The 20,541-nt window shown below is 47.2% G+C and overlaps 1 protein-coding gene across 22 annotated transcripts in view, besides 6 other annotated features; it reads right to left on the bottom strand.

Moving 5' to 3' along the window:
• Positions 1-20,541, bottom strand: part of CACNA1D (calcium voltage-gated channel subunit alpha1 D) — a 319,123-nt gene that overhangs the window by 56,656 nt on the left and 241,926 nt on the right. For all 22 annotated transcript variants that reach the window (NM_001128840.3, NM_001128839.3, NM_000720.4 and 19 more), the window contains 9 exons: positions 16,739-16,798; positions 13,961-14,067; positions 12,251-12,338; positions 11,347-11,454; positions 11,203-11,255; positions 9,630-9,776; positions 7,609-7,810; positions 5,171-5,329; positions 3,396-3,506 (listed from right to left, as the gene is read on the bottom strand). In NM_001128840.3, the coding sequence (NP_001122312.1) occupies positions 3,396-3,506; positions 5,171-5,329; positions 7,609-7,810; positions 9,630-9,776; positions 11,203-11,255; positions 11,347-11,454; positions 12,251-12,338; positions 13,961-14,067; positions 16,739-16,798 (1,035 nt within the window). The remainder of the gene's footprint in view (positions 1-3,395; positions 3,507-5,170; positions 5,330-7,608; positions 7,811-9,629; positions 9,777-11,202; positions 11,256-11,346; positions 11,455-12,250; positions 12,339-13,960; positions 14,068-16,738; positions 16,799-20,541) is intronic.
• Positions 2,867-2,966: an enhancer, noted in NCBI's record as "active region_19972". NCBI's record gives its function as "activates an Ori minimal core promoter by ATAC-STARR-seq in GM12878 lymphoblastoid cells {active_cell/tissue: GM12878}" and the evidence as "EXISTENCE:reporter gene assay evidence [ECO:0000049][PMID:35858748]".
• Positions 3,057-3,346: an enhancer, noted in NCBI's record as "active region_19971". NCBI's record gives its function as "activates an Ori minimal core promoter by ATAC-STARR-seq in GM12878 lymphoblastoid cells {active_cell/tissue: GM12878}" and the evidence as "EXISTENCE:reporter gene assay evidence [ECO:0000049][PMID:35858748]".
• Positions 3,057-3,666: a biological region, named in NCBI's record as "H3K4me1 hESC enhancer GRCh37_chr3:53787515-53788014".
• Positions 3,091-3,590: an enhancer, noted in NCBI's record as "H3K4me1 hESC enhancer chr3:53787515-53788014 (GRCh37/hg19 assembly coordinates)". NCBI's record gives its function as "activates a minimal SCP1, AML or CMV promoter by ChIP-STARR-seq in primed H9 embryonic stem cells {active_cell/tissue: H9 hESC(primed)}" and the evidence as "EXISTENCE:reporter gene assay evidence [ECO:0000049][PMID:30033119]".
• Positions 3,397-3,666: an enhancer, noted in NCBI's record as "active region_19970". NCBI's record gives its function as "activates an Ori minimal core promoter by ATAC-STARR-seq in GM12878 lymphoblastoid cells {active_cell/tissue: GM12878}" and the evidence as "EXISTENCE:reporter gene assay evidence [ECO:0000049][PMID:35858748]".
• Positions 7,606-7,805: an enhancer, noted in NCBI's record as "active region_19969". NCBI's record gives its function as "activates an Ori minimal core promoter by ATAC-STARR-seq in GM12878 lymphoblastoid cells {active_cell/tissue: GM12878}" and the evidence as "EXISTENCE:reporter gene assay evidence [ECO:0000049][PMID:35858748]".

Here is a 20,541-nt window from a genome sequence, read left to right as displayed (position 1 = left end):
CTGCACAGCAGCATGAGGACAGCACCAAAACACTTTCTTCTTTCCCCAAACCTAATTTCTCCTTACTTTTTCCAGCCCAAGTAGCTAGGAGTATAAATTAGTATATTTTCAGGGTAGAATCAAGATCAAAACACTTTAAAGGACTAAGATGGGAACGAAGTATGGCTCACTGGAGAAGGCCAGTAACCGCAGCAAACAACATGGCCTAGAATGCAGCCTGGACAAAACGCCAGATGGGTAACATCCCACAAAGAGAATCCCAGACAGACCAGGCTCTTCTTACTCCACAGAAGTGCTCTCTATACCTGCTGCAGCCAGCACTTTGAAAAAGGCCCTTCTTAATCAATCTTCCTCCTTGGAGCAAGAGAACTTGTTGGAGAATTCTAGCAGCTGGAGGGAAAGGCTTGGAGAATGGGGCTTGTGTCACCTAAACTAGGGCCTGCTTTTGAAAACCCTACAGAGGTCTAGTTGACCCCAAGTTGAAAGCAGGACCTAGGCTGCACCAGGTCAACACCCAGCTGGTGAACTTTCCCTTCGGGAACCCACAATCGGCTAAATCACCTGCTTGCTTTTCCCGGATGCTTTTGCGCTTCGGCTCCTAACTACCTTCCACTCTTGCCTGACCAGTGCTCCAAAATGCCTCCTCCCCTGAGGTGAGATGGCCTCTTCCATCATGGAGGCTTCCAGCTCGGAGTTTTCTCCCTCTGTCTACTTCCCACCTCCCTCTGGGTTGGCAGAGGCTGGGTCATCTCATCTCCCATGACCTTGGGCCATTTCCCTCTAAATATACTCTCTTAGGAGGCCCAGTTTCTCCATCAAGCTCCCTTACATAAAATAAGTCCTTAAGGTCAGATTTCTCAACTTTCTTTAACCGTTCCCTCTTGAAATGCCTTCTCACCTACCAGTAAGAATTTTGTCTTACCTCACTTTCTATACTTATTTTATGAAGCAACTGAAACTCTGCCAGCCTGTGTCCCCTAACAGAGATACTGACGAGTCCTGCTAGAAGGTGTACCTGACTCAGTGGAGAACTCTGCCATGAGGGACCCTTTTACAAAGCTCCTCCCATGAGACAAAGGCTCTCCTGAGAGGAGGCTGAGGTCCCATGTGGCCATCTCCTCAGAATATTCCTCCTTCTGCAGCCTTGACAACCTTGTTCTTCAGCCCGACTACCCCACCGACCAGGAGGGAGGAGGCCTCCCTGGCTTCTTTGTGAAAGACCACTTGCTCGGGCTGGGCTTGTGAACACCAAAGAGAAGAGCAAGAAAAAAAGGGCAGGAAAAATTTTAAGGAGGGCATTGCTTCTTGGTGAACCGATACTCTCCCACTCATCCCGGCACACGATATAAACTCAACCTCCCCTGGCCGGGGGGAACGCAGTGACAGTGCTCTTCAAGTGTGGAGATGCTGCTGCTACTGTCTTAAAAGTTCTCCCAATTGTAACGTGAGGTTGTCTAATGCTATGAAGATATCTTGCTGAGTGAAACTACAAGCAGTACAATTTCCAGCAAAAATCAACCATTTAAAAACTCCGATCTATCAGTACTGATTATAGCTTAGCTACTCACTTCCCTTTGGTATCGCCTATCTGTTCACGCGCTACTGAACTCTCCTCCCAGGTTTGGAGATCTTCTGGGCAACTGTCAGCCTACTGGGCAGTGCACTACTGGGCTGTCAATGCACTGGCCGGCTGAAGGGAGCAAGCACACACATGAACACACACGCATGTGCACACACACACACTGACACACACACATACACACCATGGGTGAGTGTGCTTTCTCTTCAGCCTAGAGCAAGCTTTCAAAAACTTCAGAGCTTAATCATCTGGCAAGGGAAGACATGGCCCAGGTATCTGGGAAATGTTCCACAGAGAGGTTCCATGTTGCATTTCTCAAGTACCTTCGATGTTCTTACTTTGCAACCTTTTCCATCAGTCCAGACAAATATTGTTCAAAGAAGTAAAGGTGAGAGGGAAGCAAACCAAAATCTCAAAGGAAATTAAGATGAATTTGGAAAAGGAGGAAATGTTTATGTATGTAGATATGGACAAGTCACAGTAGATAATAACATCTGGCCATGCATTAGGTGCCAAATTTGACCCCACTGCAATCACCCCAATTAATCACTTACAAATGTCCTTTCTTTTTGGTCCACAAAGATCTGATAAAGATTGCATAGAGATTAATTCAAATTAAAGAAAGGAACAGTTTGGAATTAGAATTTCATGTAACTATGGAGTATGTGAAACCATCCATTTCATAATCCATGCCTAACTTAATTAAATCAGTGTCGTCAGATACCTTACACAGAGATAACTAACTGGGTCACTGAACTCTGTCATCTCTAACTCTGAGAGTTTTTGGCTGTACTGGGAAAGAAAATGAGGGCCAAATATCCCACATTTCAGCTTGGTGTGGCTCTTCTGTCTAGGCTTTTAGAATGAGGGAACATCCTTGCTTGATGATGATGAGGGTGGTGGTGCGGGTAGGAACAGCAGTGGCCGACAGTCCGCAGCGTGGCGCTACATGCCAGGCACTCTGTTAAGCAGTGCGTATATGGGAACTCTTTACTCCTCATGACAACCCCATGAAACAGCACTATTAGCGTCCTCATTTTATGGGTGAGGAAGTCGAGGCGCAGGGAAGAAAGGAACTTGTTTCAGCTGTAAGTGCCAGAGTAGAGATTTGAATCCAGTCCAGTTCCACAACTATGCAATTTGACACTGAACTACACTGCCCCTCATCTGGCAGCCACTGACAAGTGGGGAACTGAATTCACTCCCTCCCAAAGGGGTACAACACGCTGAGTCGTCGAGCACAGTTGAACACATTTCATGTCTCATTTTGTGTTAAAGTCAAGTGAAATTTTTCTAAATTAAGCAAACAAAAGATGGTATGGCTGTGAGAGGTCTGCAGCTGGTATCAGCACTTCCCTTAAAGGGTAAAAAGGATGCTGCAGACCAAGAACAAACAAAACAAAGTCTTTAGACTAGATATCTGAAAGTATAATCAGGGTCAAATTCTTTCTGATGGGTTATGTTCAAACATTTTCTCTAGTGCTCAAGTAATGAGGCAGGTTTCCCTGACACAGCATGATATGTACTATTCTAGAAACAGAAAACTGGCTTTCAAAATAATCTGCAGTTTACAAATTCCCAATTCTAATCTCCCTGCTTCTGTTTCTCAGAATTGTTTTCATGAGGTTTTGTTCTTGCAGATTCATTTTCCCATATATACACACATGCTCTAATCAGATTTTAATGTTCTCAGGTGGTAACCCAGTTAGCGGCCAGAACACTTTAGCATAATTCAGTAACACAAGACTAACAGGAAGCGGGTACTTCTCTAGGGTGACTCAGCAACAACCTTTGAAAAGTGGGTTCTGCAACTCACCTTAGGCTTAAATGCGATGACTTTCAAAACCATCTCGACGGTGAACACCCCGGTGAAGACCATGTTCAGAATGTCCATGGCATCATTGAACATCTTGGACTGCTCGTAGTGCTATGGATGAAGACAGAGGGACCGTTCTCAGAGCCTCAGCCACGATCTCACATGCTTGCACATGGAGGCTCCCAGCCCTCTGTGCCCCTGTGGGCATCCTCCACAGCCCAGCACCCTCGCTGGGCAATTCCACCGGCATTGCAAGGTCATGTGGTGAACTCCCACAAAGTGCAGGAGGGTCTGTGACAAGATGAGGATGATTGAATGATGAAGGGGGAAAACATATCCATTTCCTCTGCTCAGGATAAAGGGAATTCACCCTTTCTTCTGGCAGGGCTTTATGTTGAGGGCCTTGACCAGAGCACAATGCAGATACCACCAAAATGTCTATGAATAGAGGTAGAATTTGGTTAGGGATAAATTTTATGCCATGTAAGTTTATGTTGAATAAAAGGCAGTGTTTTCTTGATTTTACACTTTCTTCTACGTCAGCACACAGTCCTTTTCATTCAAAAAGAACTCTTAGGTTAAGAAAAATGCCAGAAAATTTATCCCTATCTTTAGACCTACTGTCCAGACAGCACTGAGAGCTGGTTTGATGTGCTGGAGTTCTTAAAGTCAGTGCAAAAGCTGGCTCTAGACCTTGGTCTTTGCTTCCTGTCCTCGTAGAGTATCTACTAGGCAATGTAACTTTTGAAAACATTCGCTGTTAATACCATACTATAATCTGACTTGGCCAATTAAACTCAATTGCATTTCTTGCCCCCACTGGAATAAGAAGTAGCTGTAACTCAGGTCAAACTCAACACTTCATCAACTGGAAAATTCCCTACTGCCATGCTGAGAGCCACCTGAGGACAGGAGTGTGACTTATGTTTTGTTTTCCAACATTGAGTGTTACTCTGTGACAGGCCCAGATCAAAGTGTCCAAAGGTGCCGGGCGCGGTGGCTCACGCCTGTAATACCAGCACTTTGGGAGGCTGAGGCAACGGATCACCTGAGGTCACGAGTTCGGGACCAGCCTGGCCAACGTGGTGAAACCCTGTCTCTACTAAAAATACAAAATTAGCTGGGCATGGTGGCATATGCCTGTAATCGTAGCTACTCAGAATGCTGAGGCATGAGAATCACTTGAACCCAGGAGGCGGAGGTTGCAGTGAGCCGAGATCGCGCTACTGCACTCCAGCCTGGGCTACAGAGTGAGACTGCCTCAAAAACAAAAGGCAAAAAATAAAAAACAAAGTGTCTGAGGGGAATTATCTACAGCATAAACCTTATCTCTAACGTAGGTGTGACAGATTTCCCCATTTTACTGATAAAGAAATCAAGCCTCGGGGAATTTAAACAACTTTCCCCAAGTCACAAAAAATTCAGAGTAAAATCAGGATTGAAACAGCTGTGTATCTCCAGAGCTGTAGTTCTCAACCACTAGCTGGCCACAGGAGGCCCATGGTAAATGTTTACAGAATTGAGCACCAATGCCAGGCTCCATGGAAATGTTACCTACCATCATGCTGTACGGATAATTTCTTCAACAAAAGAACTATCTTAAACTCCTACCGTGACAACTGTCAGCCAGAACAGAACTCTGGCCAACCTATAGCCCAGACTCATCAGAAAAATCAAACCCCTCCTGTGAGGGGCAGCATTCCACCCTCAGCATTTGGGGCACGGGGCTGTGCGGAATGCCCGGACCTGATCCCCACGGCTGTCTCCATTTTTACCTGCATGGCCAAGCAGAGTGTGTTGAGCATGATGAGGACAAACATCATGTATTCGAAAGGCGAAGAGTTCACCACGTACCAGAACTTGTACTGGTAGGGGTTTTTGGGGATGTATCTCCGCAAGGGACGTGCTTTCAAGGCGTATTCAACACACTGACGCTGCAACAGCAGAAAAGGGCAGAAACGGGGTTCTGAGCACTTGCAGGGAAGGAGGACCCCGTGGTCATCTGCTCTGAAAGAGCTCACCCTACAGCTCCCGGGAAGGGGCCGTGGACGATGGTGAAAATGATTACGAGTGACCCCCTTCCTGCTGCTGGCACCACTCTTGAGTCACCGAGGGCCCTGCCTCCATTACCTTCGCTGACCCTCCCAGCAAGCTCCGGGTAAGCTGGGTGCCTACCCATGTGGCTTCCATTTTGCTTACTAAAAACTGAGGCTCAGAGCTTTTAGCTGTCTTTCCTGAGGCCCTGCAGTGTATACACAAGCAGGAGTGAGGACTGGGTCCAGGCCTTATCACTGCCTTTCCTCTTTATCACACATACGGGGGATCTATAGGTGGATCACACCTATAGTTCCCCTGCCTGTGCTGTCCTCCAGGAAAGGAGGCCAAGTAACCACAGAAACTCACAAGAACGAGAGGGGCTGGCTCATTCCCCAAGACTAGTAGCCTCCTGGATGCTCCCAGTTGGAACCACATGAGATACCCTTCAGGAGCCAGAGTGTGTTAACAATACACATCTTATGGGGAGCTATCCACATGTCCATCGGGGAGCTTCTGGGCTGGGGAGCTTGTTGTGTTCATTTCAGAATCCCTAGGATGTGGTCAGTAGTGACAGCTGGATTGAACACAGGTTGGGGCCCAGCTGGAGCACTGTAGCGACAGCTGGATTGATTGGACGCAGTTTAGGGCCCAGCTGGAGCACTGTAGTGACAATTGGATTGAACACAGGTTGGGACCCAGCTGGAGCACTTTCTCACTTACTCTGGGTAGTGGGGCTGGTCCACCCTCTGCAGCAGGCCCAGAGGGAACCTCTAGCCCCAAGAGCCCTCAGCTCAGCATTGAGAGCCTAGACCTACCCCCGCTCTCCTGCTTTGACTCTGGGTGCAGGCTTCGGACAGGTTCCCAGTGTCTGGGACCCGGCGCTGCTCTGACCTCACATGCTCACTCCAGGGACCCCCAATTCAAGCCTGTGCTGGACCTCAGAGGCTGACACACTTTCAGCGCTGGCTCTGCGTGGCTGGCCTGGCCTTGCTCTGACACTCCTCTTCCTTGGGTGAGCAAATTGCTGGGCCAGACCTCTCCCTGACAATCACTGGTGGAGTCTACAGGGACACCCTGACAACTCAAAGGAAAATCTTCCTGCAAACACAAACCGGCATGTTCTCACATTTCCCAGTGGGTACAGCCAGCTATGGTTGGCTTGCCGTGCCTGGGCCACTTCCTCTGAGGAAGCCTAGGCTACCAGATCATTCTTGCTTGCGACGTCGTCATCAAAACAGAGATGCTACTGATAGAGGACCCGGGGAAACTCCCAGAAAAGAATCTCGATCTTGTAGACTCTTTCAGGGCTGCAAGGAATCTCTAAAGAGCAGCTCCTTAATGCCCTCGATTTAGAGATGAGGGATCAAGCCCCAGCAGGGATCAGAGGGCACCTAGGGTCACAGTGCAGGTGTAGGAAGATAGCCCAGAGCACAGGGCTCCCTCTCCTCACCACGTCACCCGAGCAAAAGGCTCCTACTTCTACCAGACTGGCTAAAACACGGTGTCAGATCAAGAATGATGCCAATACAATCTTAGTCCCAAATTCAAAGTTACTGACTTCCCTGGGGTGATGCAGGGTATTCCCCCCTCGGTCAGCAGTTCTCAACAAGGGGCAGCTTTGCCCCCCAAAGGACACTTGGCAATGTCTGGAGACATTTTGGTTACTGCTACCAGGGGAAGACGAACCATTGGCATCTAACAGCTGGAAGCCACGGATGCTGCTAAACAGCCTAAAAAGCCCAGGAAACACAACCAAGAATCATCCCAGACTGAAATGCTAATAGCACCAAGGGTAAGAAACTGCCCTAAGTGGCTTTAAAGACCATCTCCCAGTAGGGACTGTGAATGTCTGTGTGAGTGGCCACAGCACCCCAACTAAGATTCTGATACATCACTAGTGGGTCATGACCATGGCAGGTGGCGTAAGCACTCTCTGATTTCATACCACCAGGTCTGGCGATGGATTTCATAATTACAAAGTCTCATATGTATCGGGAAACCTAACGCTCAGCAGTGATGACTCAAATGGGCTGAGGGTGTGCTTAGAACAGGGCCCTAGCCCCAGGGACAGACAGTATGTGGGTGCCCTTCTCTGGGTATGGGGGAAATCAGTCAATAAAGAAGGCACTCCGCTCCTGACCAAGGGACAGAAGCCAAAACAGTGTGTGACTTTAACCTGATTTTTGTCCAGCTCACAGTTCTTATACTCTTTTTCTCCTTGTTCCTGAAATGTAACGATGACAAAGCCCACAAAGATGTTCATCATGAAGAAAGCTACAATGATGATGTAGATGATGAAGAAGATGGAGATCTCCACGCGGTGGTTGTAGATTGGGCCGATGTTCTCTCCATTCGAGTCGATGGCTTTATACAGCAACCTAGAGAGAGAAAAACCAAGTGAGGACCTGCCAAGCCCCCCAGCCCACACGGCCCAGCCCGCTGCCTTCCCAGGTCCTCCCTCTCCAGAACTCCTCTCATGAGCACTCGCTGGGAACCCACCCCAAGGCTGCTGGACACAACCAGGTCTCTCCCATCAGCCTCAGGCCCAAACAGCCAGCACTAAGAGGAGGGGGCACCCAGGATATCATCATCGAGGGACTGTTCTGAGGAACTGAAAATCAAAAGATTTCACAAATATCCTAAAACACTCCTTTCTATTCAGAGAGGAAGAATATCACGTGTAAGACACTGGAGGAAGTGAAAACTATGCACACTGGCAAGACAGTAAGTGACCAACCAGAGTAGTTCCAAAGAACTAAGGGTGCTTCCCCAAACAGAGATATGCACTAAAATTAAAGCTATGCCTAGCGGAACTCTTAACAGGAAGAGGGGGATTACTGTAACACCCTTGGGGTCCATTGATCCCCATTCTGATGCAGATTCAACACTTCTGGGGCACCCAGCCCATGCATAGGCTTCCCGAGACACTTTCACAGCCTCTCCCTTAATCCTCACATCCATCTGGGAAGGCAGACATTACTATCATCCCCATCATAGGAATATTCAGGGAGGTATCAAAGTGCCACAGTCACACTCCTTGGGGGCAGAGCCAGGAGTTGAGCCAGTTCCTCCAAGCCCCGAGTCCCAGGTTTGCTCCTTTCTCCTCAGCTGCCACCATGATTTGCTCAAGTACAGTGTTCAAAGCCTGACACTATAGCCTGTGCCTGCACACAGTGAAGGGCCTTACTCCATGCCTCTGTTCTCCCAGGATTAAATCCCTAATGAACAAGCCCCACCTGACTGTCTCTTTATCCTACAGGAGCTCCTGAAAATATCTGACTCTTACACACACCCCAAGAACTCTGCTGGCCTGCGAGCCCCAGCCTGCCCACCTCCTGCAGCTCATCTATGCATGGGGACCGGGTATCCAGGACTCTAGGTGTGTTTGCACACTGATGGCAGGAGCTGGGGGTGGGAGCTCCAGAAGCAAAGAGCAACACGAAAGCACAGAGGATTCTCCCTTTCAAATTCTAACTTCTCCTTACCTGCTCTTCTTACTTTACCCATCAACATCTTAGCCATTCTTCAGGACCCTGTTCTGCACATCTAGGACACACCAGACCACCTGCCTGGTTTGACCACTTGACACTGATTTGATTTGGGCTTGAGGAGAGGAAGCATGTTTAGACACTGTTTCCTCCACAGTGCCTAACATGCCATGTTGCACAGAGCTGGTATCTAAGCACGCAGTCAGCCAGAGCCCAGTTAGACATTTTTAACGGGTGGGGAGACACAAGCCTCTGCACAGCATGGTCTGTAAATGAGCGAGCAGGTGCTCAGTAAAAGAGATGGCATAACAGCAACTGTCCGCAACTGGGAATATATTAGAATGAATGAATGAATGAATGAATGAATGAATGAATGGTTTGGGACACCATTCAGACCCTCTTTGGGAGCAGCGGATGGCAGCTTTCCTGACATCCAATGGGAGTTCATGGGACTGAGGCATCTCAGGCCTCCCTGCTTCCACCCAGAGATGCTGCCAGGCACCTCTACCAACCCTGCTTCACAAATCATCCACCTACACAGAAAGAGGCCCTGTGGGTCAAGAAGTGACTGAGAAGTGGCCCAAGGTTAAAAAGCCACAGGGCAATCCTGCGACACTGGAGAACAGAAATGGGACTGACTCCAGGAGGGAGGGCTCAGCCCTGGGCACGCAGGTGCCTCTCCAGAAGACTGTGTGCTCCCTGTACTTACGCAGGCCAGCCCTCAAACGTGGAGACTGTGAAGAGCGCCATCATAGCAGAGAGGACGTTGTCGAAGTTGAAATCACTGTTTTGCCAGATCCGTTCACGGACCACAGGACTGTCAACATCCCCATCCTTGTAGAGGATGAAAAGTCCCCTGGAGAGGAAAACAGGTGTGGGTCGTCTGGCTTCACACATGACAGGTGGAAGCAGCGTAAAGTTGGACACACTGCCCCAATCCAACCTCCAGGCAGGTCACACTCAGTCCGCCCGCCTGTCACACAGCTGAGCATAACACCGGCGCCGTTTCTCCTCTCCTCGCCCTCCATTTAATCTACTTCGCGGCTCAAATAACCATTGAATAACTACCAGTGCAACGTGTATTCTCCAGAGCAGCCACCCAGACACCGGGCATACGTCGTTGGCCGATAAAAACCACAGCATGGTGAGAGCATCTCTTACACAATGGGCTTGAGGCGCGCTCTGAAGGATCAAAGCTCAGCCATAGAGAACTCTGTAGGCTCTAGGAAACGAACCCACGTATACTCTTCCTGCATTTTAGTTTTAATCAAATCCCTTTCTCTTCTTACTAATGACATTCCCAATTTTCTTTCCGAAAGAATTGCATTATTTCTGGCAAATTATTTCTCCCAGAACTTCATTTCTGGAAGGAACCCAAGAGATAAAGCGCAATATCTTTATTTTACAAATGAAGACACAGAGGCTTCAAGAGGGAAGAAACAGTGTCCTCACGCCAATGCCAGGCTGCTCACCTCCAGGGACGCCATGAACGGTGTGTGAACGGTGCCTCTGGAGGTGCAGAGACACAGCCAAATTGCAATTGGTGCTCTCTGACTGCACCTTCTGCTTAAAATAAACCCCAAACCAATGTACAGGCACAGTCAGCCAGAGCCCAGTCAGTTATGTCTCTCGCGGGTGGGGAGACACAGGCCTCTGCACAGTCTGAAACTTTAGGCAATGGCTTCCATGACTGCCTTCATGGTCACTGGACATCCTGGAATGGGAGGCATGAATATCTCCCACCTTGTCTCTCCTCTGCCAGTTCTTGTCTATGGAAATATGGCCAAGATGTAGGTAATAGGAGCCAGGAGAGAGGAAGTCTAGAAAGTGTATAAGAAGAGGGAGCCAGTTCCCAAACACCAGGGAGTTGAGTTCCAAATTCTGATTTGGGGAAATCATCCACATGGCTGTCATGGAAGCTATTTGGGGCATTTCATAATTGTTATTTCAGGGTTCCCCCAACTCCCATCATTTATAGATTCTCCACCACAAAAGCCATCTAGCCATTCTTTTGGGATGACAAAAAGTTTGCAACTAGATAGAGATGTTGGTTGCACAACAATGCCATGGATACTATATGCTAAGGAACTGTATACTGAAAATGGTTGATGTTACGTGAATTTCACCTCAATGAAAAACAAACACCATCTATCTACCCACAAGCTGAGCACACAGGCCTATTTTATTTCACGACCAAAACTTCTGACGTGCCAACATGTGTGAATCCTTGAAGTCTGCTATTTGCTCTTCTAAGTCCCCTACTCCACTCTCAGGACGCTCACCTGCATTCTTCAGGGTTACTTTTGGCTTCATCCGTACAGCGATAGAACTTCCCCTGGGTATAAAATAGACAGGCAGTTAAGTAAATGCAGGCTTCTCCTTAAAGAAATCCACCTGAGTTTTATGCTTGGAGGCAGTTCCTCTACCTTGAACAACTGGACCCCGATACAGGCAAACATGAACTGCAGGAGGGTGGTGACGATCATGATGTTGCCGATGGTCCGGATGGCCACGAAGACGCACTGGACCACGTGCTGCGGAGAGGGCAGAGGGGCGTGACTCTTCTTTGTGATTTTGGCCTTGAGGTGAGCTAACATCAGCCGACAGTTTCTGTGTTGGCCAGGCACAGTGGCTCACACCTCTAATCCCAGCACTTTGGGAGGCAGAAGTGGGCAGATCACTTGAGGTCAGGAGTTTGAGACCAGCCTGGCCAACATGGTGAAACCCCATCTGTACTAAAAATACAAAAATTAGCTGGGCGTGGTGGTGTGCACCTGTAATCCCAGCTACTGAGGAGGCTGAGGCAGGGGAATTGCTTGACCCCAGGAGGCAGAGGTTGTAGTGAGCCGAGATCACACCACTGCACTCTAGCCTGGGCAACAGAGCAAGACTCCGTTTCAAAGAAAAAAAAAAAAAGAAGAAATGCTACAGGTGCAGTGCTGCCTGGCACATGGGCCCAAAGGGTCCCCACCCCATAAATGACTCAGGAAAACAGAAACCCAGTAGCCTTTTATACAGTCTACATGAAAACTGAAAGACTAAATAAACTAAATAAAAGACTAAAATAAACACAAAGAACTACTAATAAAAAGGTAATAAATGAACAATAATTACAAAGAAAAATATCTTCAATTACCAAAAATAAAGACAATAAATAATAATTTTTAAAATGCCATTAGCACTTGGCACAGGTGGCTGAATTGGTTAGAAAGGTCCTTATAACTCACTTTAAAAATCCATCAGGCCTCAGCTCAGCTCTGCCCAGAAGAGCCAGTAATTACAGCCAACCCCAACCCAAGCCAGCCCAGCCGGGAGGAGAGGAATCAAAACCTTAAGTCCTTTTGCTCTGTTGATGGCCCTGAGGGGACGCAGGACCCTTAAGACCCTCAGAATCTTCACAACGGAGATGGCACTGGATCTAGGGAAGGAGCAGAAAGACGGCAGGCAGAGCGTGTTATAAATGGACAGGATGCTTTGAGATTCACCCTTTCACTGGATCTTCACTTTAGTATCCCTGCACAGTTAGCGTGGGATCCATGTGGTGCTGAGCTGATCTCTCTTCACGACTCAGAGGCGACTTCTCCTCCCCGCCCACACGAGGCAGCACCTCCCAAGCCCAGCCCATGGCACTCACAGAGGCTGACAGGTGCACAGCTAACCTTGGCAGAGACACAACTCACGAACTCTCTTTGTTCTTTCCACTCACTGTAAATACTAGGTAGTAGCTGGCTTTTAGGCTTCATATATCATTTGTTTTTGTTTAAGGTTGGAGGTCTGCTGTAGCACTTTGGTACCAGGGCTTCTCTGGCCTTCAAGGAGCTCACAGTCTGGTGGAGAGATGGGCAATCCCAACCCAGTGTGGCACATGACAGGGGTAAATGTGGTGTGCTCAGCCAGGGGAGCACAACCTGTGGGGGTGGGGCAGGGGGAGCCTGGGAAGGACTCTGGGGTGGGGGTGGTGATAGCCAGGTGAGTCCCAAAGGAGGAGTAGGGGTTAGCGAGGACAATAGGGAGGGGGGCTCCAGTGTGAGGGAGCAGCATGTACAAAGATGCGACACAAGAGAATGCAGCTTTCTGCTTTACCCTAGGTGGCTGAGTGTGGCCAGAACACATGCTCAGGAGGAAGTGGGCAAGGCTGCAGCTTGGACATGAACAGCCTGGGAGTTAATAGGAGCTGCAAAGATGTTAATGCAAATGGCCTTCCAAGCTATGATCACAGGGTTCCCTCAGTGGCAGGCGAGAAGGATAACACAAAGGGCTGTTCCAAGCAGAGGTTTTTGGTCTTCCTAGGAGGGCAGGTCCTTTCCACTTCTCTTTAGCTTAGAGGGCAGGTGTGTGCATGTGTGCTCATACAGGGGAGATTCTATGCTCAGCACCTGAACAGAAGTGCTCACAGGCCAGCAAGAAAGCAAGGCCACACCTGATGCTCTACTGGAGCCTCTGCCCCACACCCCTGGGGATGGTAAGCAGTACTCAGCAATGGCTGTTCCCACCAGAAATCGCTAAATGCCATGGAAAAGACCTGGGGCCCTGACTTTCAGCCTTGGCTCCCTCCTAGCTGAAAAATTTTGAGGCCAAAGAAAAAGTCCTAGCAGGTTCTATATCCTGAAAATCAAAGGAAGTTCTCAATATCTAAGCTGGAAAAACTGAAAGGCCACCTGGTCCCAGCCCCTCCTATATAAAAGGGGCACAGGGTTCCTGAGAGAGGATGCCCTCAAGGCCCTGGAATCAGCCTTTGGAGGAACCAGGACTAGAACCTAGATTCCCTCCCTCCTAGTCAACACTTCTTTCACCTCAGTTGAAAGCAAATTTCACAGACAGTAATAAGCTCAACTTAGCAGCAGGCACAAAAAGAAAAAAACACACACACACAAGAAAACATGAATTGTTTAAATCTTTCTGGAATGGGAGCAAATTAAATAAACCTATATAACTAAATATAATCATGAAAATGATGCCCAGCCTTTATCAATTATGTTAAAATCCCTTACATAAACCATTCAGCCCAACAATTCTGGGCACACACCCCAGAATACTTACTGAATCCCAAATGACACCAGAGACACCCCAACCACCAGCATATCCAGCAAATTGAAGTAGTTCCTGCAGAAGGCCCCTTTGTGGAGGAAAGCTCCAAAAGTTGTCATCTAGAAGCAGAATCATGGATGATTTACCATTTTTTGTCTCCAAAGGAAAAGAAACCTGGGCTCTTTGCAAAATCTTGAGGAAAGTATAACTTCATTAACAAGTGTGCATTAAGAAGTCAGAAATGTAAACCAACGGGGTTGAGCCACAGGATAATTTCTTCAAACAAAAATCAAAAAGGGGCAGCTTATTTTGGATACATTTTAAAAGAAGAAACCAATTTAGGCTTTATTACAGTGATCACAGGTTTCAAGTATGAATACACTGTTGGCATGTCCAAAGAGCCTGTCTAAGAGAGGCTCCACAGGACTACATTCGTCAAAAGGTAAGTGCTGTCCGGAGAGCCCACTTCCCCACAAAGTGCTGGTTCTGGCCCCTCTGAGGCCCTGGTAGAGCCTACCTTGTTTCAATTAAGCCTTTCCAGTGGGGGCTTGAATTCAGGGCTCCCAGGCTCTATGGACCTACATCACTTTTCCACAGAGGCCCCTTATTGTTCCTAATGGTCTTTAATGACGCATCCATCTTAAGCAATTCCTCCAAGTCTGATGACACGTGCCAGGCATGGCTAGGAAGCCAGGTGGCATCTCACCTGAGCCAGTCTCAACGGCTCTGTGCTCACCTGCCACATGTACCTGGAGCACCTATTATGGGTGCTTCAGTGAGATTTCTATTGGTGATGGAAAAAGAGTTTAGTTCCCCAAAGTAAAAATAGCAAAATATATACAGCTCACTATTTATTTTAAAACAAAAAAGGTTGGAGAAGGCTCAGGTAAGTACAGTATAAGAGAGGTAGAGGTGGGAAATATTACATTGAACCTTATGAAATCGCCAGTGTTCAACCCTTTTTGACCTACAAAAATGGCAATTTCATAGGGCTTAAGCAAATAACCAAAGAGCCTTCCAAATGTCCCCAAGGCCACCAGGAACCATCGTCTCAGATATTAGACACTTCTTGGTGAGTCTCCATTTTCTGAATCCTTCTTGTTTTAGCTTATTTTCCATTCTCTAAAATACCTTCAAAATGAAGAATGACTCAGAAGATTTAAGTCGGTGAAGCAATTCTACCGAAATTAAAAAGTAACAATCATTTTTTTCCTTTTAAATAATCCTGTGTCTAATTTTCCCCAAAGCCCAAGGGTAACTATATTCATTTAACAACTAAAAAATGTGGAGAGTAAAATAAAACCTCAATTAACCAGGCTAACAGACTAAGTAGAACAGCTCCCCATTCACTTTGAAAAGAAGTCAAATTCTAAAACCAAGAAGCTGAGGCAGAAGCTGAGCCGGTGAGTGTTCTGGCGGCATCCCTCCGACCCCCACCACTGTGCATTCTGCATCCACAGGCCCTCCCACAGAGGCCTCATCAACAAGAGCTGGTCACCATCCCACTGCACACCTCTGACTTAGGAGAAGTGTCAACCAAATTCATCGGCTTAAAGGCAGGAAAATGAACTCACATTTTTAGAAGACTTTTAAGAAAGGGGTAAACAGTTGTTGGTTGGCTTTATGCTGTTTCATGAACCAAAAAATAAAAAAATAAAAAAACCAACCTCAAAAAACTAACCACCTCATTCCCTGACCATATTAATTGAGGTTTCATTTTATATAAGATTTTGTAAAGAGCCCAAGTTCCACAGTAGTCCGATGCAAAATACATTTTGCCTGAATTGCACACACAAAAATTCCCCAATGGCTTAAAGAAAACCATGGTTAAAAGTCTTCATTTCCCAGCTTGTCTTCCTGCTAGGAGATGGTTGCCCTGACAGTTCTGATGGGCCACGTTCTCCCAGAACCACAATGACCCACGCCCTGTGGTTCTTGGCCAGTTTTGGATAGGTTCTTGGAGCTCTGCTGTGGTCTCCAGCACTCTAAGCACATAAGGAATGGGCTCCCCATGGGGCAGACTTCACAGTCAGTCCACAAACCACAAGCAGCAATGGCAGCCATTAGCTCATGCATGGGCAGTACATTTAGGTCACCCCGGCCAAAGGGCGCTCCTTTTGTGTAAATGTAAGCCCATCCATTAAAACAGACAGAAAATACCTTAACACAAATAGACCCAAGTCATCTTGCAAATCCTATTGCAAGAAAATAGTGTGTTACTATTTTAGGTCCCCAAAAGCATAATGCAGTCAGAGAAACAAAAAGAGAGACATCCTCTTCATAGGATAAATGCTTTTCCTCTGACTTTGATGTCAGAAAGGGTGGAAAAAAGTTCACACATAGAGATATATGTGTTATCAGTTGACAAATTACAGAGGGTATTTTTTTTAAATGAGCAAAATGTAATTCTCAACCACTATCATGAAGCCAGAGTGGCTCCTACATGCATTCAAAGGTTAAAAAGAGCAAAAACAAGTTGGAATGGTCACAGGAAAAAAAAATCCTTCGGTTTAAAAAACAAAAAAAAAAAACTTAGCTCAACCACGAAAGACAAAAAAAAAACCCATAAAAAATCAAAAGCACTCCACGCTTCTTTCCTGTGTGTCACACGCAGGAGCAGCCCTTAAACACACTGCCGGGTAACCTGTTACCTTTAAAATGATCTCAAATGCAAAAGTACCAGTGAAGACATAGTCTGCGTAACCTAGCATCTGGAAGGCAAACAAAGAAGTGCAACTATTATTGCTCCAGCTGCTGTGGAGTATGTGAAGATCAAGGAAAATTCATTACCTTCAACAGGATCTCAACAGTAAAGATGGCTGTGAAGGCATAGTCAAAGTAACCCAGTATCTGCAAGGCACAACATGTGGGAGTGAGAAAAGGAATTCAGACAAACTCTGACATCTGCATGCTTACAGGCAGAAACCCCCGATCCAGTCAGAGACCCATCCCTCCAGGAAAACCCTGCCATTCTGAAGGTAAGTGCAGAGCCACGGGTGAATGCCCACTTTGGTCAATTACATCATTCCCAAAGAGCGTTTGAGAATCCTGACCTCCTTTAACCACTCACCGACTTGCTTCCCAGTCTTGTGTCTTGGACAGGCAGAGAGGCTCATTTCTAAGAGTGCTTTGTTAACAAGCTTTTCTCATCAGAGAGTGCTACATCTACAAACGACTTGTGGCACCAAATAAATTAGAGGCTTATACACATTTTCGATTTTTAACCGCGTTTCTGGCTGAATGAAGTATGTTGCCCTCCATCTGAGCATCAGATTGGTGGAGAAGCATAAATGAAGATGGCAGCGGCATCTGTCGGAGCCAGTAGCTTCCATATGCCCCCTCGCATTCCAGCCTGTGTAATCAGGGCGTCAGCACCCTTCCCTGCTCATGCGCTGGGCTGGCTAAGTCTGCAAGGGATGGTTTTACAGACTCCTGCATTGGTGGTCTCCAGCACTCCTGCCCGTTGTTCTGCATCTCACACTGCTCTCTCTAAACTCAGGGTTTTTTTTAAAAAACCTTGCTGGGCCCACTCAAATAACAGACTGACTTGGTCTTTGAATTTTCAGTCCAGGCAACTCTATCCTCATTGGTGACAATACCATCTATTATCCCATCAGCAGAGTCCTGCTAGCCCTTTCTGGGGTCCCTGCTTCTCCTCGGAGCCATGGAGGCAAGTGGGCCAGCAGCAAGAAGTCTGACCACCAGGAAAGCTGCTCACCAGGAGCTTCTGACCGTAGCACCCTTATCTGCAAAGGCGAGTTGGTCTTGGCCACTGATCTTCATGACAACTATGATCTATGGTTTTGAAAGAACTGAAGAGACCAGAGCTAGAAGGGACTGTGGAGACCACCCAGGCCTAATCCTTTAACAGATGTGGCTGCTGGGAGCAGGGAGTGGACACACGCATAGGCCACGCAGCTAGTCACAGGCACTGCAGAGCAAGGAGTAGGCCTGGCGTATGCCAGCGAAGAGTCACAGGGGTGAGCTGTTGTAGGTAGAGGAGTCGCCTGGGGGCTGTGTCACAATAATGCGAGGACCTCTGTTTCAAGCCCAGTCTCTCTCTTCAGAGGGTATTCACTTTCCAAACTGTTTCTGGTTTTGGACTTATGAATTCTGTGGGACCACTTCTGTGTAATGGAGTTTCTTGGCCAGGCTATGGAAGGTGTCTTCCCGTGCACTGCCAGGCCTCAGCCAACTTTTCCTTACTCCTTCCTAGGTCACAGTGGGAATATTAACATGGAAAGCATCTAGTAGCCCAGAAAGACACTGCAGCCCACAAGTCTACAAGGCAACCTGGCGCCAGGGCTGAAGTTGAAATTTAAGCTGTTTTTTTCCCTCACTCTGCTTGCATTCTCTCGCTCTCTTTTTTAAACTAAGAATTCGGCTAAGGTTAAAAAACATACAAAACACTGCAGAATCTAAAAAGCAATACTCATACACATATGTACATCTATTTAAGCAGAACGGTAACATTTTTGGGTAAGGCAGCAGGGAAATAAACTTATGGAGAAGCAGTTATAATTAAAAATAAGACATGAAACCCCCATGTAAATTAATCCCTTGTCAATGCGAATCCTAGACTAGCTCCTGGCCTAGTTTGTCACCTAATGCTGTTTTTTTCCAAACACTGCCCTTGTGTCCTTTTTTTATGATGGAATGAAATGACACAGAGGTCTTTCTTCTATTGGGGCATCTAGAGCAACTAAACCCTCTCTAACAAAAACCCTAATCTGTGAGGACAAATCAAGACAGGCCCAGTGCCTTCCTCTTTATATTGACACTAACACGCACCATGGGGAAAGCACTTTTTCTCTTCATATCGGAGTGCGTGTTTCATAAATCTGATAGGTAGGGCTTGCCAGGCTCCAGAAATGGGAAGCAACAGCATGAGGCTTGGTTGTCCCAACAGAGTCCTGGAGGCACAGATCTGCAGGTGTGTCTTAACCCTAAAATCTCTAACAACCTGGTGCTCAGAAAAAGGTGCCCACCAGCAAGCCAGGGACACCTGATGCTTGCACACTCGCCAGCCTCCCTCTGCTGGTCGGGTTTCTTGGTAATAACCTGAAACTGCACGATAATATCTAGGCCTGAGAGTCAACAGGCTGCTGCTTCTAGCCGTCTTGCCTTTGAATGGTCCTCAGTGCCGAGTAAGCTGCACAGCTAAGGTGGGGCTGCTGAGGCAAGAGCCAATTTAGGTGCAAGTTTCCTTACAACACAGACACAGTCAGCGGGCACCATCTCTAAGTTACAAAACTAACTAATAGAAAACCCTTGACTTGCTTGTATTTTTGTTTGTATGTTTTTTTGAGACAGAGTTTTGCTCTTGTCGCAGAGGCTGGAATGCAATGGCATGATCTCAGTTCACTGCAACCTCCGCCTCCTGGGTTCAAGCGATTCTCCTGCCTCAGCCTCCTGCATAGCTGGGATTACAGGTGCAGACCACCACACCCAGCTAATTTTTGTATTTTTAGTAGAGATGGGGTTTCGCCATGTTGGCCAGGCAGGTCTTGAACTCCTGACCTCAAGTGATCTGCCTGTCTTGGCCTCCCAAAGTACTGGGATTACAGGCATGAGCCACTGCTCCCGGTCCCTTGACTTGTTTTCTTAGTACAGTCAGTATCCATAAGGGATTGGTTGCAGGACTCTCTCAGACCCCAAAATCTCAAGTCTCTGATATAAAATGGTGTAGTGTTTGCATATAATCTATGCACATCCTCCTGTAGACTTTAGATCATCTCTAGATTTCCCAAGATACCCAAGGTCAAGTAAATGCCATGTAAATTATTTAGGAAATGACAAGAAAAAAATCTGCACAAATTCAGTACATTTTTTCCCCCAAAATATTTTTTCTTTTTGAGACAGAGTCTCACTTACTCTGTTGCCCAGGCTGGAGTGCAGTGGTGCGATCTCAGCTCACTGCTCATACCTCAGCCTCCCGAGTAGTCGGGACTACAGGCGTGCACCACCACACCTGGCTAATTTTTGGTATTTTTAGTAGAGACGGGGTTCCACCATGTTGGCCAGGCTGGTCTCAAACTCCTGACCTCAAGCGATCCACCCACTTCGGCCTCCCAAAGTGCTGGGATTACAGGTGAGCCACCACGCCTGGCCACCCCCAAACATTTTCTATCTGTGGTTGGTTGAATCCATGGATGCCAAACCCATGGATACAGAGGGCTAACTGGATAGCCACCTCTGCCACACCAAAATCTAGAGTTCTTTTTGTTTTTTTTTTTTTTTTAGAGACAGGGTCTTGCTCTGTCACCCAGGCTGGAATACAGTGGTGTGAACACAGCTGACTTCAGGCTCAGCCTCCTGTGCTCAGGCAATCCTCCCACCTCAGCCTCCCAAGTAGCTGGGACAGGCATGTGCCAATACGTGTGGCTAATTTTTAAATTTTTATATAGATGGGGTCTCACTATGTTGCCTAGACTAGTCTTGAACTCCTGGGCTCAAGCGATTCTACTGTCTTGGCCTCCCAAAATGCTGGGATTATACGTATAAGCCACCACGCCCAGCCAATTAATAACTCTTTGTATATTCCTAATTCTACCAATGAAAAGTAATATTGTAAACCGCTAAGTTAACATGCT

This window comes from Homo sapiens, chromosome 3 (genome assembly GCF_000001405.40).
Source record: "Homo sapiens chromosome 3, GRCh38.p14 Primary Assembly".
In the NCBI taxonomy this organism is placed as follows: domain Eukaryota; kingdom Metazoa; phylum Chordata; class Mammalia; order Primates; family Hominidae; genus Homo; species Homo sapiens.
Note: the sequence above shows the minus strand (reverse complement) of the source record. Positions and strands in the feature narration are given on the sequence as shown.